General features: G+C 44.9%; 1 protein-coding gene and 1 long non-coding RNA gene across 22 annotated transcripts in view, besides 1 other annotated feature; one reads left to right on the top strand and one right to left on the bottom strand.

Moving 5' to 3' along the window:
* KHDRBS3 (KH RNA binding domain containing, signal transduction associated 3) overlaps positions 1-11,368 on the bottom strand; it is a 199,061-nt gene extending 187,693 nt beyond the window's left edge. For 8 of the 15 annotated variants that reach the window (XR_242372.3, XR_001745458.2, XR_928287.2 and 5 more), the window contains exon 1: positions 10,870-11,368. Coding sequence is in view for 9 of the 15 variants with exons in the window: in NM_006558.3 (NP_006549.1) it covers positions 10,870-10,957 (88 nt within the window). In the remaining 6 variants the exon portion in view is untranslated. Of the gene's footprint in view, positions 1-4,847; positions 5,192-9,913; positions 10,281-10,640; positions 10,792-10,869 lie in introns of those variants that run through there. The other 7 variants (XR_001745457.2, XM_005250757.4, XM_024447052.2 and 4 more) reach the window with 4 other exon arrangements.
* The window catches only part of LOC101927872 (uncharacterized), a 53,621-nt gene continuing 46,230 nt past the window's right edge, over positions 10,849-18,239 (top strand). For 2 of the 7 annotated variants that reach the window (XR_002956731.2, XR_002956732.2), the window contains exons 1-2: positions 10,849-10,942; positions 14,021-14,200. This is a non-coding gene — a long non-coding RNA (uncharacterized LOC101927872). Of the gene's footprint in view, positions 10,943-11,495; positions 13,297-13,768; positions 13,860-14,020; positions 17,123-18,239 lie in introns of those variants that run through there. The other 5 variants (XR_007061188.1, XR_002956730.2, XR_928690.4 and 2 more) reach the window with 5 other exon arrangements.
* Positions 11,197-11,496: a silencer, noted in NCBI's record as "silent region_19569". NCBI's record gives its function as "represses an Ori minimal core promoter by ATAC-STARR-seq in GM12878 lymphoblastoid cells {active_cell/tissue: GM12878}" and the evidence as "EXISTENCE:reporter gene assay evidence [ECO:0000049][PMID:35858748]".

Raw genomic sequence — 18,239 nt, 5'->3', positions numbered from 1 at the left:
GCCATGAGAGGTCTGCAATAGAAAGAGCCCACAATTATCATTAATTCATTCATGCAAATAACTTTTATTGTGCCCCTATTTTGGAAGGCATGGGTACAAATGAATTTTACCAAGTTTGGTAATAAAGCCTGGGCTCCTAGTTTCTCTGCTGAGAGCAGGGAAGGGTAAGCAGACCACAGCCCATGGCACACTGCCTGTTTCTATAAATAAAGTTTTATCAGAACACAACTATTCTCATTCATTTACATAGTGTCTGTGGCTGCTTTTCTGCTACAACAGCAGAGGTTGAGTAGAATGCACAGCCCACAAACTATTTACTCTTTAGCCTTTACAGAAAAAGTTTGCTGTCCCTAGGCGTAGAGTTTCGCATAAAGACAATGAAGGTACAGCTACAGATAGGTATCTACTTCCCAGCTGTCCATGAAAGAGCCTGAAAGCAATGACTACCAGCACCCAGATCTTGGCTTCTAAACAACATTCCACACTAAAAGAAACCAGGGCACCTTTGGGGAAAATGGCTCATTTGAGGGCTAGGGCAGAGCAAGAACAAGATAAGCAGAGAACAAGTTGCTGTTACAGAGATTAAAAAAATACTAAGCCAATTTAGGGGATGATCCTCTCAAATGGACCCAGGAGCCAGAGCAAAGGGCCCTCAATGGCCAAATCTTAAACAATGTGAGCTTCAATTTACACGGTGATAGTAAAGGATTATAACCCACTGAATTAAAGAAAAATGCATGAATTTAGAAGACAGATACGACTGAATAACAAAGAGGGAGAGAGGGATTGAAAAAGAGAAAGAGGGAGAAAGAAGGAGCAGAAAAGATTCCTTTTCAGTAGAATATCAACCAATAAATGTAGATGGAATGACTGTTGGAAAATTACCATTTTACAACCATCACAGTAATAATTCAGGTAAGAAATGTTAATGGATCTAAAAGATGTGAGGGAGAGTTTAATGAGGAGCAGGATATTTATTTACATAGTCTTAAAGTATCTCCTCACAGAAGTATTAATTAATTACCAAAGGAAAGTAGTAACTTCACAGAGGAGAAAACTGGCACCACCTTAACCAAGTGATTGAACTTTTCACCAGTAACGACACAGACGTGGTGTGCCCGGGTACGAGGGGCTGAGAGGGACCTACCATCACCTCGGTGGCATTCCTGCCAAGACAGTGTGTGACACAAATCTAATTTTAAGGAAACATCAGACAACCTAAATGGAGAAGCATTCTACAAAAAACTGGCCTGTATAGTTTTTGTATAGTTTTCCAAAATGCCTATCACGAAAGGCAAAGGCGGACAAAGCAGCTACTGCAAACTGAAACCCTAAAGAGGCCTGACACTACACGAAATGTGTGATCTTGACTTGGGTCCTGTAAAAGACAAAACCAGAACAACTGGTGCCATCAGCATGTGAACTGTAGATGAGATAACAGCACTGTGTGGTTGTTAAACTTCCTAATTTGGATCATTGTATGACAGCTATGAAAGGGAAGGCCCTTATTTTTAATAAATACATGTCAAGTTATTTAAGTATTCATTTGTAAAAGATAATATATGAGGAACAGAAATATATGTGTAATAATCTCATCTTAGATACAACGAATATATTCTATGTTAAAAATTTATAGTGAAATTAAACAAATACGAAACCACTGTCATTTAATCTTGTTTAATTTTTATTTTTAATTGTGGGGGTACACAGTAGGTGTACATGTTTATGGGGTACATGAGATATTCTGATACAGGCATGCAATGCATAATAACCACATCAGGGAAATGGGTATCCCTCACCTCAAGCATTTATCCTTTCTGTTACAAACAATCCAATTATACTCTTTTAGTTATTTTAAAATGTATGACAACCACTGAGGTGGCATCCTGCCTGCCATGTGCAGATGAGGGAATAGAGGCTCAGTGAGGTAAAGTCATGGTCCAGAACACACAGGTCAACTCAGCAATTCAACAAATATGTGTCGAATAAATGAATAAAATGAAAGGATAAATTTTTTAAGTCCTGGGGACTTGTTAACAGCATTCAGCCCTGCTAAAAGTTACTAAAACAGGAAGCCTGGCTTTGTCCAAAATTCCTCCCACATTTTATAGCTAGTACTCATCAAGTCTCAGCCCACTCAAGTCAGTAAACAGAAGGCAAGAGGAAGCAGAAATTTGCACACCAACTGACAAATCTTTTGTTACTGTTGTGTGCTTTCTTATACAAATCAGATTTGGGAATTTGATTTATATATTCCAAAGCAAATTAACTGTGAGGAGTATAATTTTCCCCCAAAATAAACATATTACCATGGCCAGTAACCGTAAGTCAGACTATCCTAACAAGTTATTTGACAAAAGCTTTCAATTTAATGTTTTTGGAGTATACTTTTCTTTAGGGCACACTAATCCCTATAATATAAGTTAGCTTTGTGACCTCGAACAAGTTATAAATCCCTCTAACCTCCACTTCTTACCTGTAAAATGAGAACAACAAAACTAAATTCACGTGAAAGTCATGGATTAAATGAAGAAATGTGTGAAGAACCTAGCTACAGTGCCAGGCATACCTCAGGCGCTTGAGCAATGGTGGCTACAAAAAAAGGCATGGCTTTCTGCAAATATTGATTAGCAAGTATGCCTCTTAAGAGATCAATAATATGAAAAATACCAATGCATGAAAATCAAAAGCAATGCACGTTTATTGATCAAGACTCAGTTCAGAAATAGCTACCAATGCGAAAGAAAGAAGGTAACCTAGCTATGTGGAGCGCCATCTAGTGGAAGAAAAGCAGAGCACAAACGGCACAAACATTGAAGCAGAGAAAGAACAAGGAAAAATGTTGAAAATGAAAACTGCCCCTTATCTTCATCATAATTTCTATATTTTCTCCCATGGGAGCACGAATCAACAGTGACCCCAAGTGTAAGATATATATCGAAAACAGACATTTAAAAGGGTGCCCTCACATACTCTTGCCCTTTATCATATCAACGAAGAACATCAATAATATGCTAGGAGCACCTTTTAAAATTCTTAAAATAGCAGCAGGGGCTGATTGACGAAAAATTATGGAAATGTAAAAAATTATGGAAATTTACAGCTTACCAATTCAGAGTAAGGTATCTTGTGCTTGTGGAAAGAGGCTGCTGGGTGTCCAGACATGTTTTAAGATATGCAGTCTTAAAACTGTTTATGGAAGCTTCATTTGTTAATTTAAGCTTCAGGTGCTGTGTCTTGAATAGCATAATAAAAATCAATCAGAGCTGCTGCTAATTTTGTGCATGATATTAATGAAAGAAGCTTCCTAAAGACTGAATTTCTCCTTCAATATTTCCTGGATTGGAAAACTAAAATAATTCTAACAACATAAAATTACCCTAAGAAATGAAAGTAGATGATTTATGTATTGAATTTGTATTATATACATTATATCTGAAAAGTGATGTCGATACTCACACATCTGTCTTACAACATTTTATAAAAATTGCAGGTAACGTTTATTAAGCACCTACTATGTGTTAGACACTGTACTTACGTCTAAAACAGCAACCCTACAAAGAAGGCATAAGGTCCCCAATTTCACAGATGGGGAAACTGAGGCTCTGAGAAATAAAGTAACTTGCAGGGGATTACAGACTAGAAAGCTGTCACCTGTAATCACATGGCTCTTTCTGCACCAGCTCATTCCTTGTTGAGTTAACACTGTTTCCCAAGTAAATGCTACCTACCAGATGTTGCCACTGGTCAGAAAGTTCCTATGCCGTTTTGCCATGCCCCTGTGTGCCCTCTGTATGGTACGCAACTGCCCTGCTCACCCAGTCCAATACTAGGCATGTAATTTGAAGAGCTGCATAATCCAAATTCCCCACAAAAGTAAAACATGAAAAACAAGACATACTCAAAGCTTCCACCTCTATCTGATGCTAACAGGTGCCCTACATAGTGTCATAGTGTTGGGCAGACAAAGATCTGAATCCTGATTCACCAGTTACTAGCTATGTGTTCTTAGGCAAATTATGTGACCTTCCTGACCTCGGTTTTCTCATCTATAAAATAAGGTAAAATGACTTACTCTTTTAAGACTGTTAAACTAATTCAATGAAATAACATACATAAAGCACGTAAACCAGAAAAGGCTCTTGATAAATGGTAGCTACTATCATTAGCAACTGCAGGGCAAGTATATTTAAACATATTCCCCCCTTCCAGAAAGCCAAAAGCATTATCTGTGGGAATACTTTTTTTTCTTTTGTGAACCTATTTTTAGAGAATGAAGAATTCACAAATATACCATAAACTGACTATAAATCCCTGATATCATACTCTCGACTGTTTTTGTGATAAGCAAAGTATTAAAATACAAAGAGCACTGCACCTCTAGGAGGCTCCCTCAAGAGACAGAACTTCAGCAAGAATTTCACTGGCTTTCTATATGGAATATTTTTCTATTTTCTTTTTGGTCACTGAAATATATACATATTTAAAAATCCTTACTTTGAATGCCTACTGAAGACTGCCGGAGAGCACAGGAGAAAAAAAAGTGAGCTTGCCTTTTTGGTAAAACACATTTTCAGTAACCCCTTTTAAAAATTCATCACCAATGGAAATTCCTAAGAGGCTTCTGCTATAATGAAACATTTATTTAAAAACAACAATGTTGAGTTCTGTCCTTTTACCTCTTTTCTTAAAGTATCTTAACAAAATACTGCAGACTTGGTTTAAAATTTCAGCCTGACTACTTATAAGCTGTGTACCTTGACTGGGCAAGTTACTTAGTGTTTTTGAGCCTTAGAGGCCTCATTTGAAAAAAATAAAGGAGGCACGCAGGGAATAAAACCTCCTACCTTGCAAGATCTTGCGGGGATGGGAGAGAATGCACAGAAAGCAGCTGGCACGGAAGAGCCTCAAATTGGTGGCTTTTATAATCATCATCCCCAACGCCAAGGAACACTCTCCTTCTATTGTTTTGGTAGAAGATATAAGTCATTCTATCTTCACTCAGCGGGACTGGTGACAACAGGCAAATGGGGCTTTTGATATCAAAGTTGCTGTTGGCACTCAATTTGCGGTTTCAATCGCTCCTCTGGCTTTCGGAGTTTCCCTTTGGCATCTGAAACTGCGGATAACTCTCTCAGGTAAGAAACCTTATTTGGCATGTGACTAGGGCTTCCAAAATTCTGTTTTTAATCTGTCATGAGAAATATCATTAGGAGTTTAGAGAAGGAGAGCAAATTGATGAGAGTGCAGTGATTTCATAAATTCCTTAAGAAAGAATAAAAGTAAATAAACATCTGATTCAAAGCAGATCTGACAACATCTTCTCATTATCTCCTAGAGAAGGATCCCTACTGTGCAACCACATTTAAAGAGCACTGGGATGCTTTTCTGCTTGTTCAACCCTGCATTTCACTCAGAACCTTCTTTCATTGATATGGGCAGAACTGTTGACTTCATCCCCACCTCCAATTCAGGTCCTCTAAAGCTGTAAGAAGCAAAGCTCTTTACTGACTGCTAAATTCCAAATATACTTTCTGATTCTGCTACCCTTAATGATAATTAACACGTAACACTGAAATGAAGACAGGAGTTCCCAAGGGCCCTGTGCTCAGACGTATGCTAGGTGCTGAAGATACAGAGGAAAGACCAGGCCCTGTCTTCCGAGGAACTCACTCTTTACCAAGAAAGACAAAGATCCAAACAAAGCAGTGTGATGAGGATCACACCGTAAGAGCACCAGGTGTTATGTGACACCAGAAAACAGGCAATCCAACCCATTTTGAAAAAGGTCAGAGGACTTATCTTAGGGCAGAAATGTGAAGAATGAAGTATGAAAATGGATGCTATATAATTTATCTTTCAATTCAGCACAGGCTAGAGGAAAAACAAACTGCACATAAAAAAGCCAGGGTTTTGATTCTCCTTCTATCATTCACTAATTATACCATCACAGGTTGGCCAGTAACTTAGCCCTTTAGACTCTCAGTGTTACTGAGAGTCAGTAGGACATGGTAAAAAGAACAATGGACCTGTAAAAGAACAAAGCTTGACCCTTCACTCTGACATTTTATTATAAGCATGTCACCATGGGCAAGTCACTTTAGCTGTCAGAATCTTGGTTTCTACAACTGAAAAACTAGGCTAATAACCTCTCCATCTCTGAGCTGTTACCAGTATCGAGATTACAAACATGACCCAGTACCAACAAGTGCCTCAAAAATGTCCACAAGCTGATTTATTAACAGTAAATCTAAGCCATCCAATCATTAAATATTTCAGCATAGTTGAAGGACTAAGATGTTCCTTAGGAAAGAGGGCATCTACAAACCGAAAATTCATTCTCAAACGCACACAGAGGAGAGCAGGAGCTTCTCACCAGTGCAGACTGTTTTTCCTCCCTACCCCTGGGACCCAACACAGAGAACCAGCATGGCAGGTTCTCTATAAGCCTGTTACTAATGTCCAATACCAAAACCCTGTAACTCACAATCACTGGGTCACTTTTAATCATAATACACTGTATAAAACTCAGAAATGGCATATCTAACACTGTGAGTGATCGCATTTTCTTAAAAAAAAAAAAAAACTGATAACACAAAGAAAAACAATAAAAAACTAAAAACTAAATAATCACATCCTCCTTTGGATGAAACAGAAAATCACAAACTATAGCATGAAGGCACCATACCTAAATACAGTTCTGCAGTTCTCATTCTTACTCTCTACTTTACAAGTCTGTGACATTCAAGCAAATCCGAAATGTTTTCCAAAAGGGGTCCCCAAAAATCAAGTTTTAAGCCCCTGGGTTTTGTGGATTACAAAGAGATGTACATAAAATAATAATCCTTCCTTAATATATTTTTATCCTCCATATTTATTCTAAGTAATGCTAAGAATTGTAATATTTGAGAAACTGATATAAAAACCATTTTGATATACAAACAAAAAACTTTTATCAACCTAGACACAAATCTGGACCACCTTAATCTTGAATCCTCAGCTCCACTTTCTCTTGTAATCAACGACAACTAAATGTAACTTGGCAGTGAGCCAGCCACCAATCCATACATTATATCAGATAATTAAAAATACAGTGTTATGTAATCTTATTTAATGGTTACTTGGCTTGTATTGAAAACCATCCAAACCAATATCAGAGACTTGGATTAAATTATAATGCATAAGACATTTCTAAAGATGTTTTTTAGTAAGAGTCAGCACATCCCCTACTAGCAAATATAAAACATGCAACACCACTTTCATCTGCAATTAACCTCTCCTTGGCAAGAATTGCAATGTCAATTCACCCTACAGGCACCAAGGCGGGGTCCGGAGTGGGATCCCAAAGCCTATTTTCTTTGACTGACTTTTAACATCAAATAAACATTAACCACTAATTTTGTTAGAGAAACAAATTCAGAGGCCAGGCACGGTGGCTCACACCTGTAATCCCAGCACTTTGGGAGGCTGAGGCAGGCAGATCACGAGGTCAGGAGTTCGAGACCAGCCTGGCCAACACAGTGAAACCCCGTCTCTACTAAAAATACAAAAATTAACCAGGCATGGTGGCGCACACCTGCAGTCCCAGCTACTCGGGAGGCTGAGGCGGGAGAATCGCGCAAACCCAGAAGGCAGAGGTTACGGTGAGCCTAGATTGTGTCACTGCACTCTAGCCTGGGCAACAGAGCCTGGGCAACTTCGTCTCAAAAAAATAAATAAATAAATATTCGGGAAACAAATTCATTTAGGAGGTGGAGGAGGAGAACCAGTTATTCTGGTAAAATGAAAATAAAATCAGCAATCAGTGCCCACGATGAAACACAAGTCTGGAAAAATATAAAAGCCAATGTATACCAGACAGGAGTATATCTCTTATTGTCATCCTAGCTCAAGAAAGAAAAAGAGTAATTCAGTTAGGAAGTTGATCAATCTTTACGAACACTGAATTTTTAAAGAACGACTACACCTCATCTATAAACTGCTTCATTATCATAATGCATTGATTATTAAACTAATACACTAGTCACAGGAGGGCTTTAATTCAAAACTGCCTCTTGGCCTCAGCATCAAAATCCTGGAAGATAAATCTACCGTGAATGTTTGCTTCTTCAAAGAAGGCAAGTGCAGACAGAAACTTTCTGTAAAAATCAGGATAAACTTCCTAAAGGATATATACTATTTCCTACACATTTAAGTCAGTTGGAAACAATCATACTAATTATATTGATTTCTGCAGGGTCTGAAGTTAGCAAGTGAGAAGTATTTCATTCCAACATTTTAGGAAGCCAAAATAAGAAAGAACAACCTCTTCAGAGACAGAAGACCTGAGATTTCAAATTAAATCTCAGTTGCCCAAAAGCTTAGATAGCTGGGATCCTCAGCTGCCTTCCTGAAAAGAGAAGACATGAACATCTGCCTTACCGGAATGCAAGTGTGAGGACAAAACTAGTGCCTTGGAAACTTTAAAATACTATGCAAATGTAAGGCCTTGTTAGAGTTTAGAGATACCATAAAACATATCTATTACATGGCACGCTAAGGTTTGCCATGCTGGCCCATTCTACAATTTAGTGCTGAAATACCAACTCCAATGTGAATAACTGCTGAAAACACAGTTGCATTAGAGGCAAACACAAATATAACTAAATAAGAAAAAATAGCCCATAACAAGATGGTTGGATTTAAAATCAAAGCTTCCTCACAATCATGTAGCTTCAGATTTAAAACACTTGTAATTTTGCAGTTACATAAGCGTGTAATTAATGTTTTAAATGATAAAGCTCTGCATTCCGAATATCAGCCTGTGATTTAAGAGAAAAATGTTTCAGTCTGAAGTCATCTAAACTAACAGTAAGACAAGATTCTGAGCAGCACCTCCTCCTTCCTTCACATGTGAGAAATATACTTCTTATAAGAATTACTTCTATGAAAAGTAAGTTTATCAAGTTGAATACCTAAAAAACACTAAATGGCAACATTTCCCCAGTAAATATCTGTTTCAAGTAACTGGAAGCCATTAACACTGGTAAAAACACAGAATCCAAAAGAATTTTGGACGTTTTAGCAACACAATACTATGGCAACACGGCAGAGAAAATAATTCTGACTTTTAAAATAAGATAACGCACTGTACTTTCAGTTTAACTGTTCCTTAATTGAGTACAACCTAACTTTGATTCAGCTACTTTATTAGGAAAAATGCACTTGAGTCCACAGTCCAGAATATTTCCAATGCCACGGATCTCATGCAATGTATGAAGAAATTTCTTTCACAGAGATGACAGCCCAGCAGGCAATAAAAGATACATGTAAATCATCAGGCACAGGAGTACAAACTCAACTGCAGAACTGTTCAGAGGGCATAGAAATAAAACTTAATTTTTTTTCTTTTATTTAGGAATGCATGCCCATTCACTTTTTCACAAGCCCATTTTATTAAAGAAATAAAAATAAGCCTGCAATTAAAATAAAATGAGGGAGCTCCATAAGTCTATTTCTGTTCAACAATTCAAATATTCTTAAATTCTTGGAGACAGTAAAGAGTCTCTCCTCCACCATCGGTCAACCACACACACACTCTACTCTGAAGAACTGGTTGAAACAGGCAAAAACTGGAGGTCACTGTTTTAAAATATAGGTATCTATATACAAATAGAATATGTCTGCCTCATCTTTCACTTCCAACAATAAAAAAGCCAGGGCGAGCACTAAGAGCAGCAGATCCGATTCATCTAGGGAACCACAGACTGTCAGTGCACAGTAATTCCTGCAAAAGGTAACAGATCTGACCAGATCATGTTGCTGCCATTTCCCAGAGAAAAGACAGACCAGTGGCACCCACACCCATCTTCATCTGAAACACATATTCCAGGAAAAGTAGGAGACTGCTCCCAGGAAGGAAGGCTTAATTTACCGTGCATGCCAGCAGATGATTCAGGAAGCCACAGGAGGAAAAAGCCAGGGGAACACTGTCCCGGGTAGGCGTGCCTCCAGAAATCTCTGTATCCCTGACCCGCAGTACTTCCTAGGATCTTTCACACCCTGAGCTGGCTGGAGTCGTGTGAAAATGGCAAGGACTCCCTTCACCACTATTCCGAACCTCAAGCCAGCCACCAATGAGGGTCACCCAACCCAACGCCCTCCGGAACGGTGCTCTTTTGCCGGCCTCTTCTCCCCTACTGACTTCTCCAAGGGCCAGCCTGCAAGGCTTGGCATGGGCTGCCCATCCCCTGGGAGGGCTGACTGCCCCGCCAGGGCTGTTGGAGCCTGGACACAGGAGAGACAAAGGGCTGGGAGGGGGAACTGGGCTCCTCCCCTGGGACCACGGAGCTCCTCTCCTCTCAGGTGCTGGGGTCTGACCCCAACCCTCTTCCAAGGTCCCCAAACTTCGCTAACAATGCAAGCACCTGTTCCCTTCACCTCTTCTGCATTTGAGTCCCTCAAGTCCTTCCATTTTCCTCCAGCTTTTTCTCCAGTACCTTAGACAAACCAAACGCCCTACTTCCCCGAGTCCAACACGCTCCCCTTCCATGACATAATTCAACCTCGTTCCCAACGAAGCCCCCAGATGGTCGCTGTCCCCCACCCAGAAGTTTCCCCTGGGTGTGCCCGAGTCCCCAAAGATTTCCTTCAAGTCTCACCCATGCGCCCCAGCCTTCTCCTTCCAAGTCCCCAAAATTCACATCAGGGTCTTCCCCTAGGTGTCCCACAGCCTCCCAGGTCCCCGTGCAAACGACCCCGGGGGCCACCCGGGCCTCCGTCTCCGCCGCGTCCGCTGACAGCAGAGGGCACGGAGGGGCCCCCTGGGCCCCCGCGTTTCCACCCGGCCCCCAACCGCCGCCGGCCGGCAGTTAACGGCCGGCGCCTCACCTTGGTTCACCAGGCGCAGGGCGTGCGTGAAGGAGGGGTCCAGGGAGTCCTTCTCCGCCATCAGCTCGGGCAGGTACTTCTCCTCCATGCTCGCCGGCCGCCGGGCCCGGGATGTGGACTCCAGGCGCACGGGGGGCGGCGCCCGGCAACCCCCGACCCCGCCCGCGCCCCCAGCGGCGGGGACCCGGGGGCCAGACGCGGCAGCAGCGGCCAAGCCGGGCGGTCGGCCGGAAGGCGGCGGCGGCGGCACGGGGGCGGGAACCGACCGCTCAGCCCCGATCCCCGGTGGCCGCCGAGTACCCAGCGCCGGCGGCCCCCGCGCTCCGGGCGCGGGCCGAGGAGGAGCGGGCGCGGGCGGCGCGGTTAGGCGGGCCCTCGGGCCGAGCGGGCTGCGGCGCCCCTGAGGCAGTCCACGGCGATCCCCGCCAGTCCCGCCAGCACCTGCCAGCACCCGAGCCACAGCTGCGACCTGCACGCCGCGCGCCGCCCCGCGCACTCTGAGCCACCGCGCCGAGCGCCCAGCGCCTGCCGCCGGCCCCGCCCCGCCCGGCTCCGCCCCGCCCCGCCCCGCGCCCGCCGCCCCGCCCTGCCGCGCCGCGCCTGCGCACTGGCGCCCACCGCCCCGCCGCCCGCCGCCTCCTGGGGCCGCTCTCCACTGCGAGTCCGCCGGGACTAACCGGGCGTTTGCGAGAGGGGGTGCGTCCAAGGGCCCCTCCCGCGTGTCCGGCGCCCACCTTTGGCCCTGAGGGCCGAGTGGGGAGCCCCACGACGCTATTACAGCCTTTCAGATGCACGGACTGGGAAACTGGGGCTCAGAGAAGTCAAGTGGCTCGCCCAAGGTCACCCAGCGAGTGATCCTGGGAAGAGGGGACAAGGGCCGAGCTGGAGCTGGGAAGGGCGCCCCAGTTCGCCCCAGTCGCGCTCTGAGGAATAGCAGCGGGACCGCCCTGCTCTCTAAAGCTTCCTGGACTTCTCTAAGTTATGTCGCGTTGCTGTCCCCTCGTACTTATAAGAGAGTAAGGCAGGGGCGCCGTCCTTTCTCCGCGCCTGAGCTCAGAGCGCCAACCTCCTGAGATCCGCCAGCTCAGAGGTCGGTTACATAAAAGCGCGTGCCCTTCTGGGCGTCTTTGTCATCCCGACTTGCTCCTGGGTTGTCATTCTCTTAGGTCATAAACCGGCTGTGCCTGGACACAGCTGAGTGAGCCGCGTCTGAGCTCATCCGCTCCTGGGGAGAGGCCCTGGGACGCCCCGCCTGTCGGTGGCAATGCTCTCTGTCCCCTTCCGCCCACCCCCAACCCCCAGCAAATGCTCTCCAAGGCCATTTCAGATTTCCCGAGGCATGTGGAATAAACGTCCCCCAGGAAGGCGAAGGACTCCAGTCCTTGCCCTGCCATTTTTCCTGCCTTCAAACAGCCAGCTCAAGTCCCGGCCTCAATGTCACCTTCCCTGGACAGCCTCTCAGGACCTCCCTGGCAAAGCAAGTCACAAGTCCCTTCTCTGTGTCCCCCCAGCTTGGTCAGAGGTCATTCACAGACAGCTGTAATTCTGTTTTCAGTAGACCATGAGCATCAGGGACAGAGTTTGAGTTTTGTTTTTGAGGGGGAAGGTCACCAGTGTGTAGTACAGGGGGCAGGGATGGAGGGTACTGGAAATGTCTCTTGGAGGAATAAGTCAGTGGCATACCACTCTCAGCCAATAGCCTGAGGACAATCGCCACAGTCCCCCAGGCAGCCCCCCCGCACTCCCAATGCAAATGGAGGCAGCTTTACAAACCCGAGGGGAGTGGGAGGTGGTAGAAATCTTGGAAGCTCTAAGTCCCAGACCCGAGTACTCAACTGCCCTCACTCTCAAGGCTCCACTCCTCCCCCGGCTAAGGTGTCATTTCAGAGTCCCCAGTAAGAGTCTTCTTCATGGCTCTCTTCAGTCTCAACTTGCAAGAAGCAGAAAAATGGCACAGTTAAAAGCAAAGCCTCTGGGGTTAAACAGCCTGGATTTGGAATCATGGATCTGCTGCTCACTAGCTGTGACCTTGGGCAAGTTTCTTCACCTCAGGGTCCTCATCCGTCAAGTGGAGATGACAACCAAACTTATTTCATAAGAAGTTCATGAGAATAAATATGTTAACTCATAATGAAATACCCAAAACAGCACTCTGCCTATCGGAAATGCTGAGCTGATCTTTGCTTTGGGTTTTTTCCGGCTGCAAGGCTGTCCTCTGGGCCTTCTGAGCCTCCCTCGCCTTCCCTTCAGCTGTAACTCCAGGGATGCTGGGCAGACACCCATCTGTGGACTCCTCACTGCTGGTCGTGGTGCTTCGCCCCGGCCTGGCCAACTGAGTGAAGGACCTGTGACTGTCGCACCTCTGTTTCTGACCTGGGCCCAGCGTCAGGCTTGTAGGCTGCTTGTGGCTGCTCTTCTCAATCCCAGGTCTATGACTGGCCTCTCAGCCCCAGAAACAAAAAGGGCACTTCCCAAACCACCCTCACCCAGAAGGGCAGGAGTCTGGATGCCTGCATCCTGGCTGCTACCTGCCTCACTATGCCACTTTGTTAATTAACTTAGAGCCTGAGCTTCCCAGTCCACACCCCCAAAACCAGGGGTATGCCAGTAGTCCTGCTGGACAACAGGAGGGACTCATAGGACAATGTCTTTTCCTTTTACAACTGAAGGGAAGCATACACCTCTGGCTTATATTCCTGTGTCACAGAACTTACATTCTATGGTAGGGTTCCCTGACAGCTGCTTGTAAAGGGGGAAAGGGGGACAGAGAATGTTTGGGATGAGGCTAGAAGAGGACAATGGGGCCTGGATGCCCAGCGGCTTCATTGGAACACTTAGACTCTCTCTCTTCTAACAGCTCTTCTCCCTCTGTGTCTTCCATTCAGACCATCTGCCCCGGTGACAGTCCAGACCTTGAGTAATCACTATTTTTATTAAGTGCCAGCCCTATGTTTATGACTTAGGATTCACTATGGTTCTCGCAACACCCTGTAAGGAAAATTCTATTGATCACCACTTACAAAGAAGGAAACTGAGGCCCGGGACAGTTTAATACCACCTTGCTTAAGGCTCCACAGCTGTCGGCGGGGATCCCAGGCCCACCTGACTCTCTGACCCTTCTTTCTCTCCCTTCCTGGTTCTGCCTTCCCAGGTAGCAATCTGGAACACTCCTGACTGGCTCTTCATCCCTCCCTGATCTGAGTTGGCAGTCAGTCCACCAGCAGCTGTGGAGGAGGGCTATGCACTGGGAAACTGACAGCAAGGGCACTGAATCTTCTGCTCCAGACCCTCCTTCTCCGAGAACCTTCCAAGAAGGCAGGTGCCAAACGCTGTGAGTGCTCATGCAGGGTCCTCCGGGGAGGAGGGAGATGAATGTCTCTGTGAGATGCTCAGGAAATTGTCCCCACCCACCAACCTGGCTGAGCCGTTGGCTGTGGGGCACCTCCATGCTGTGCTGCACACTCCGCTCATCTTCATGAGATCACCTTCCTGCAGGCGCTAACCCTCTGATTCTTTTGAAAAGGAGAAATCAGGTCTTGGGAAAGCCGGTGATTTTCCTACAAGCAGCTGCAGGTAGTATTCACACTCAGGTCTTTTGGCTTCCAGGCCAAAAGAGGTCTCTCTAGAATACACCAGTACTCACTGAGCACATACTATGTGCAGAGACTGCTCTGGGTACAGGGGACATAGCCATGGACAGAACAGACTTCTCCAAAGGCCCTTAAGGCCAGGGCACTGGGGCTGCTTACTCCATCTGCAGAGTTTGTGGTTAGACTGACCAGGCGCTCAGGTCTGGACGGGAAGCCCCGCACTGCAATAAGGAACTGTGGCTGCTCTTTCTTCTCACATCCAGGTCTGGGACTAGCTTCTCAGCCCCAGAGACAAAAGGGTACTTCCCAAACCCACCCCACTCAGTGACACTGGGCCATCTCTGAGAACACAGCAAGTCCCTGTGGCCCCAGCCCACTGCCATAGCGCTGTCTGCCAGAATCCACACCTGCCTCCTCTTCACCCACCTACTGACTCCTGGAGAGAGAAAGACAAGTCCTTGGCCTTTATGACACTAACTGCAATAAGTCAGACACAGCTGCAGCAAACTCAGTGTCATCAGAGGAGACACAAAATGTAGGGAGTGTGTCTATGAGGAAGTTTTCATATTTGCTGCTCACACTACAAGCTTCTCACTGCTGTTCACACCACAAGCTTCCTCTTCATTTTGTTTAAGAAAGGTGGATCCTATCCCAGTTACTCCAAAACTCTGCAGTGCCATACTGTGAAATCCTAATCCGACTGTACCAAAGGCCAGAGAGACCTCGGCTTGGCCCCAGCTGCCTTGCTTACTATCCTCCTCACAGGATCATTTTGAGGTTGAAATTGAAGCATTAAGCTCACATAGGCACCATGTGCATTTTAAAGCTTTTCCACTCTCTGTCCTCTCCACCAGCATTGTTTGTGCTCCTGTTCACACTTAACACATCTGGTCCTCGTCATCTGTGGACCCCTTTGCCTTCACACTGTCCTCAGAGCCTGCTCAGCTGCCCAGCCCCAGTGCCTGGTCCAGAGGTCAGTTCACAGCAAGCACTCAGCATTCATTCTGGATCCGTGTCTCCCAAAATGCAGTCCCGGAACAGCAATGCTACCCAGCCATCTGAGGCCAATTCATTTGTCATGTAAGGCAGGCACCAAAAGATGGCACATCCTTACCTAGAAATCAGTCATTTATGTGTCAGGGAGGAAGACAAGAGTGTTCACTCTGATCCCTGACTCCAGTCAGTTACAGCAGGAAATACTTTTTCAAAACTTGTAACTGTGGCTGAAAAGCCTTGACACAAGTGGGGGAGGACACAAAGCAACTCTTCAAAGTTGGGAGGCTTCACACAGTTCAAAGCCCAGTGTAGATCTGGAGTGCCTTCACCAAGGACTATTTGGTCTATGAGTGGCTCTCTTGTATTTTACTCAAACAAGCTCCAAAAAACTTCCTCATTCAGGTAGTCACAAGCCACCACTTTTTAGAGATGAGGAAACTGTTGCTCAGAAGGTTTAAGTGACTCAGAGATAGTAAGTGGAGAATTGGACACATGCTTGCATGCACATACACATGCACACGCACGCGCATGTGCGCACACACACACAAACACACACTCCACCCAATGTGAGGATGGATACAATCAGACCTTCAATCCCAGTCACTCACATACCTGAAGACACCTGTCTTTCTGTCTCTGTATCCATCTGCCCTGCAAATCTATACCCTCCTGTCAGTATTTGGTGGATGGAAACCTCAGTTTCTCTCGTCAGCTCTCTTCTTTGACAAGAGAATCGAGCCATCCTGGCTCTGTCTTTCTGCAGCTTAAAAAAATAAAATAAATAAATAACCACACACACAGATATTGTGCACACACCCCCTAGTGGCCACATGTGGAGGCACATGCCCCACAAAGTTTGCGTTGGGGTTGATAACCACTTGAGTTTGAGAAGGAAACCCCAGATAGGATTGCAACTCCATCCTAGGAAGGAGGATGGTGAAAGATGATCTTATGTGGAAGACAGTGAAAATGGAAAAAGACAAAGAAAAGGGGAGGAGAAAGAAAAATGTGATGGAGAAAAAGAAGGCAGGAGAACCAAAGGAAGATTAAAGAAAGGTATATAGAATAGGAGGAGTGAGAGAAAAAAATAAGGCAAGCTTAAAGGAGGGACGTTTCTCAATGTGAAGTCTTTCTCTATTTCAAATATAAGCACAAAAAGTAATGATGGAAAATAATGCGAATTGGTGTGTCCAGGGTCAGCTGGCCATCCTGTACACAGGCAGGTGGGGACAGACGAGCCAAGGATGAGAGGTGACAGGGCCCGTATCTGACCCCGTCACTGCCTGACTTGGTAATATTTTCAGAATCCAAAGCTTTCTCTGTCCCTATTTCTGAGCTTGTAAAGGGTAGCTAATAGCAGTTGTTTGTTGAGTTCTGATGAGAACAATAAAGATTTGCAGAGAAAACCCTGAAAAGTGCTCTAAGCTCTTGGACATAACCATCACAGAAATGTGTTTTGTTATTTTGCTCAATGCAGCAAAAACCCTCCATCCTTTGCTTCCTGGTGTAAAAGGTTATATGTGATGCTGGAGTGCCAAAGTACTTGGTGTATTTCAACAGTGCATCAAGTTATCACCACCTCTGGTGCTTTGGAAGATGCTGTGATTTGGAAAGCACTGTCGAAATGTAAAACATTATTGCCACAGTAGTAAAAATATCCGTGTCCATCTCCTAGTCCACTATTTCTTGTCAGGATGCATAGAGATACACATGAAACAATTCTGTACACATTAGTAGAATGTTTTACAGCAAAACTGCACATATCTGAGTTTGGCAAAATAATCAGAAACAAAATATTTCTGTCAGTGTCAAGTTACCCTTAGTGTCCGAACAGCTACCAAGGGGGTGATAAAGTGTTTAGTGCCCACTGCAAATGTGAACACATCCGGGTTTCATAGAAAAATGCCAGCTTGGGCTTGTGTTTTTCTTTAGTTAAGAAAGGAAGAAACAAACTTAACAAAAATGGCTGTGGAAAAAGAATGGACATAAAGCTGAGATTGTGGACTTAAGTTAGATCACTGAATTACAAGAGAAACATTTTTTCTCAAAATCAAAGTCGACTTTTGTTGGTGACTCAACTGCAAACTCACTGAACGTCTCTGTGAATTTCATTCTTTGGCGTTTCTCTAGCGTAGCACTAGCCTTCCCACTAATATCAGCCCTCATCACCACCATGTCTGGATTTATACCAAGAGGAGACACAATGCCTCAAAATCCATTGCTTGTTGTTAATGGAGAGATTGCGGTTACTGGTTATACCTGGGCAACCTCGATCAACTTTATCACACCTCTAATGACAGCTGGCATGTGCAACGCTCCAGCTTCCTCTGGCAAATCTTATCCTGAGAGCAAATTCTCTCTCAGTCTTCGTAGCCATACCTGTTGGTCTGCAAGCATTAGCAACTTAGATATACAGACTATCATGATCTGTGCACAGTTCAAGAGTAAGTTACCCTTGAGCATATGGCGGTTGAGGCCACAAGTTAAGGAGTCTGATACCACTGTGCGCCTGCCCCTAATAATCTGGGAGCTTTGGGGCAAGGCAGCCTCTTTGTGCCTCTCTTTCTGCACTTGCAAAATGAAGGCAGTATTACCCCCTCCCCTGCAAACAGTTACTTTAGGACCTCCATGAGTGGCATGTATTTAAAGTGTTTATCACAGAACCTGACACGCCAGGGGCATAGAATGGGTGCAGCATCAGTAGAGCAGCACTGTCCAAAATTAATGTGAGCCACATGTTTAATTTTAAATTTTCTAGAAGCCAGTTGACAATGTGAAAAGAAA

This window comes from Homo sapiens, chromosome 8, assembly GCF_000001405.40.
Source record: "Homo sapiens chromosome 8, GRCh38.p14 Primary Assembly".
Lineage (NCBI taxonomy): Eukaryota > Metazoa > Chordata > Mammalia > Primates > Hominidae > Homo > Homo sapiens.
Note: the sequence above shows the minus strand (reverse complement) of the source record. Positions and strands in the feature narration are given on the sequence as shown.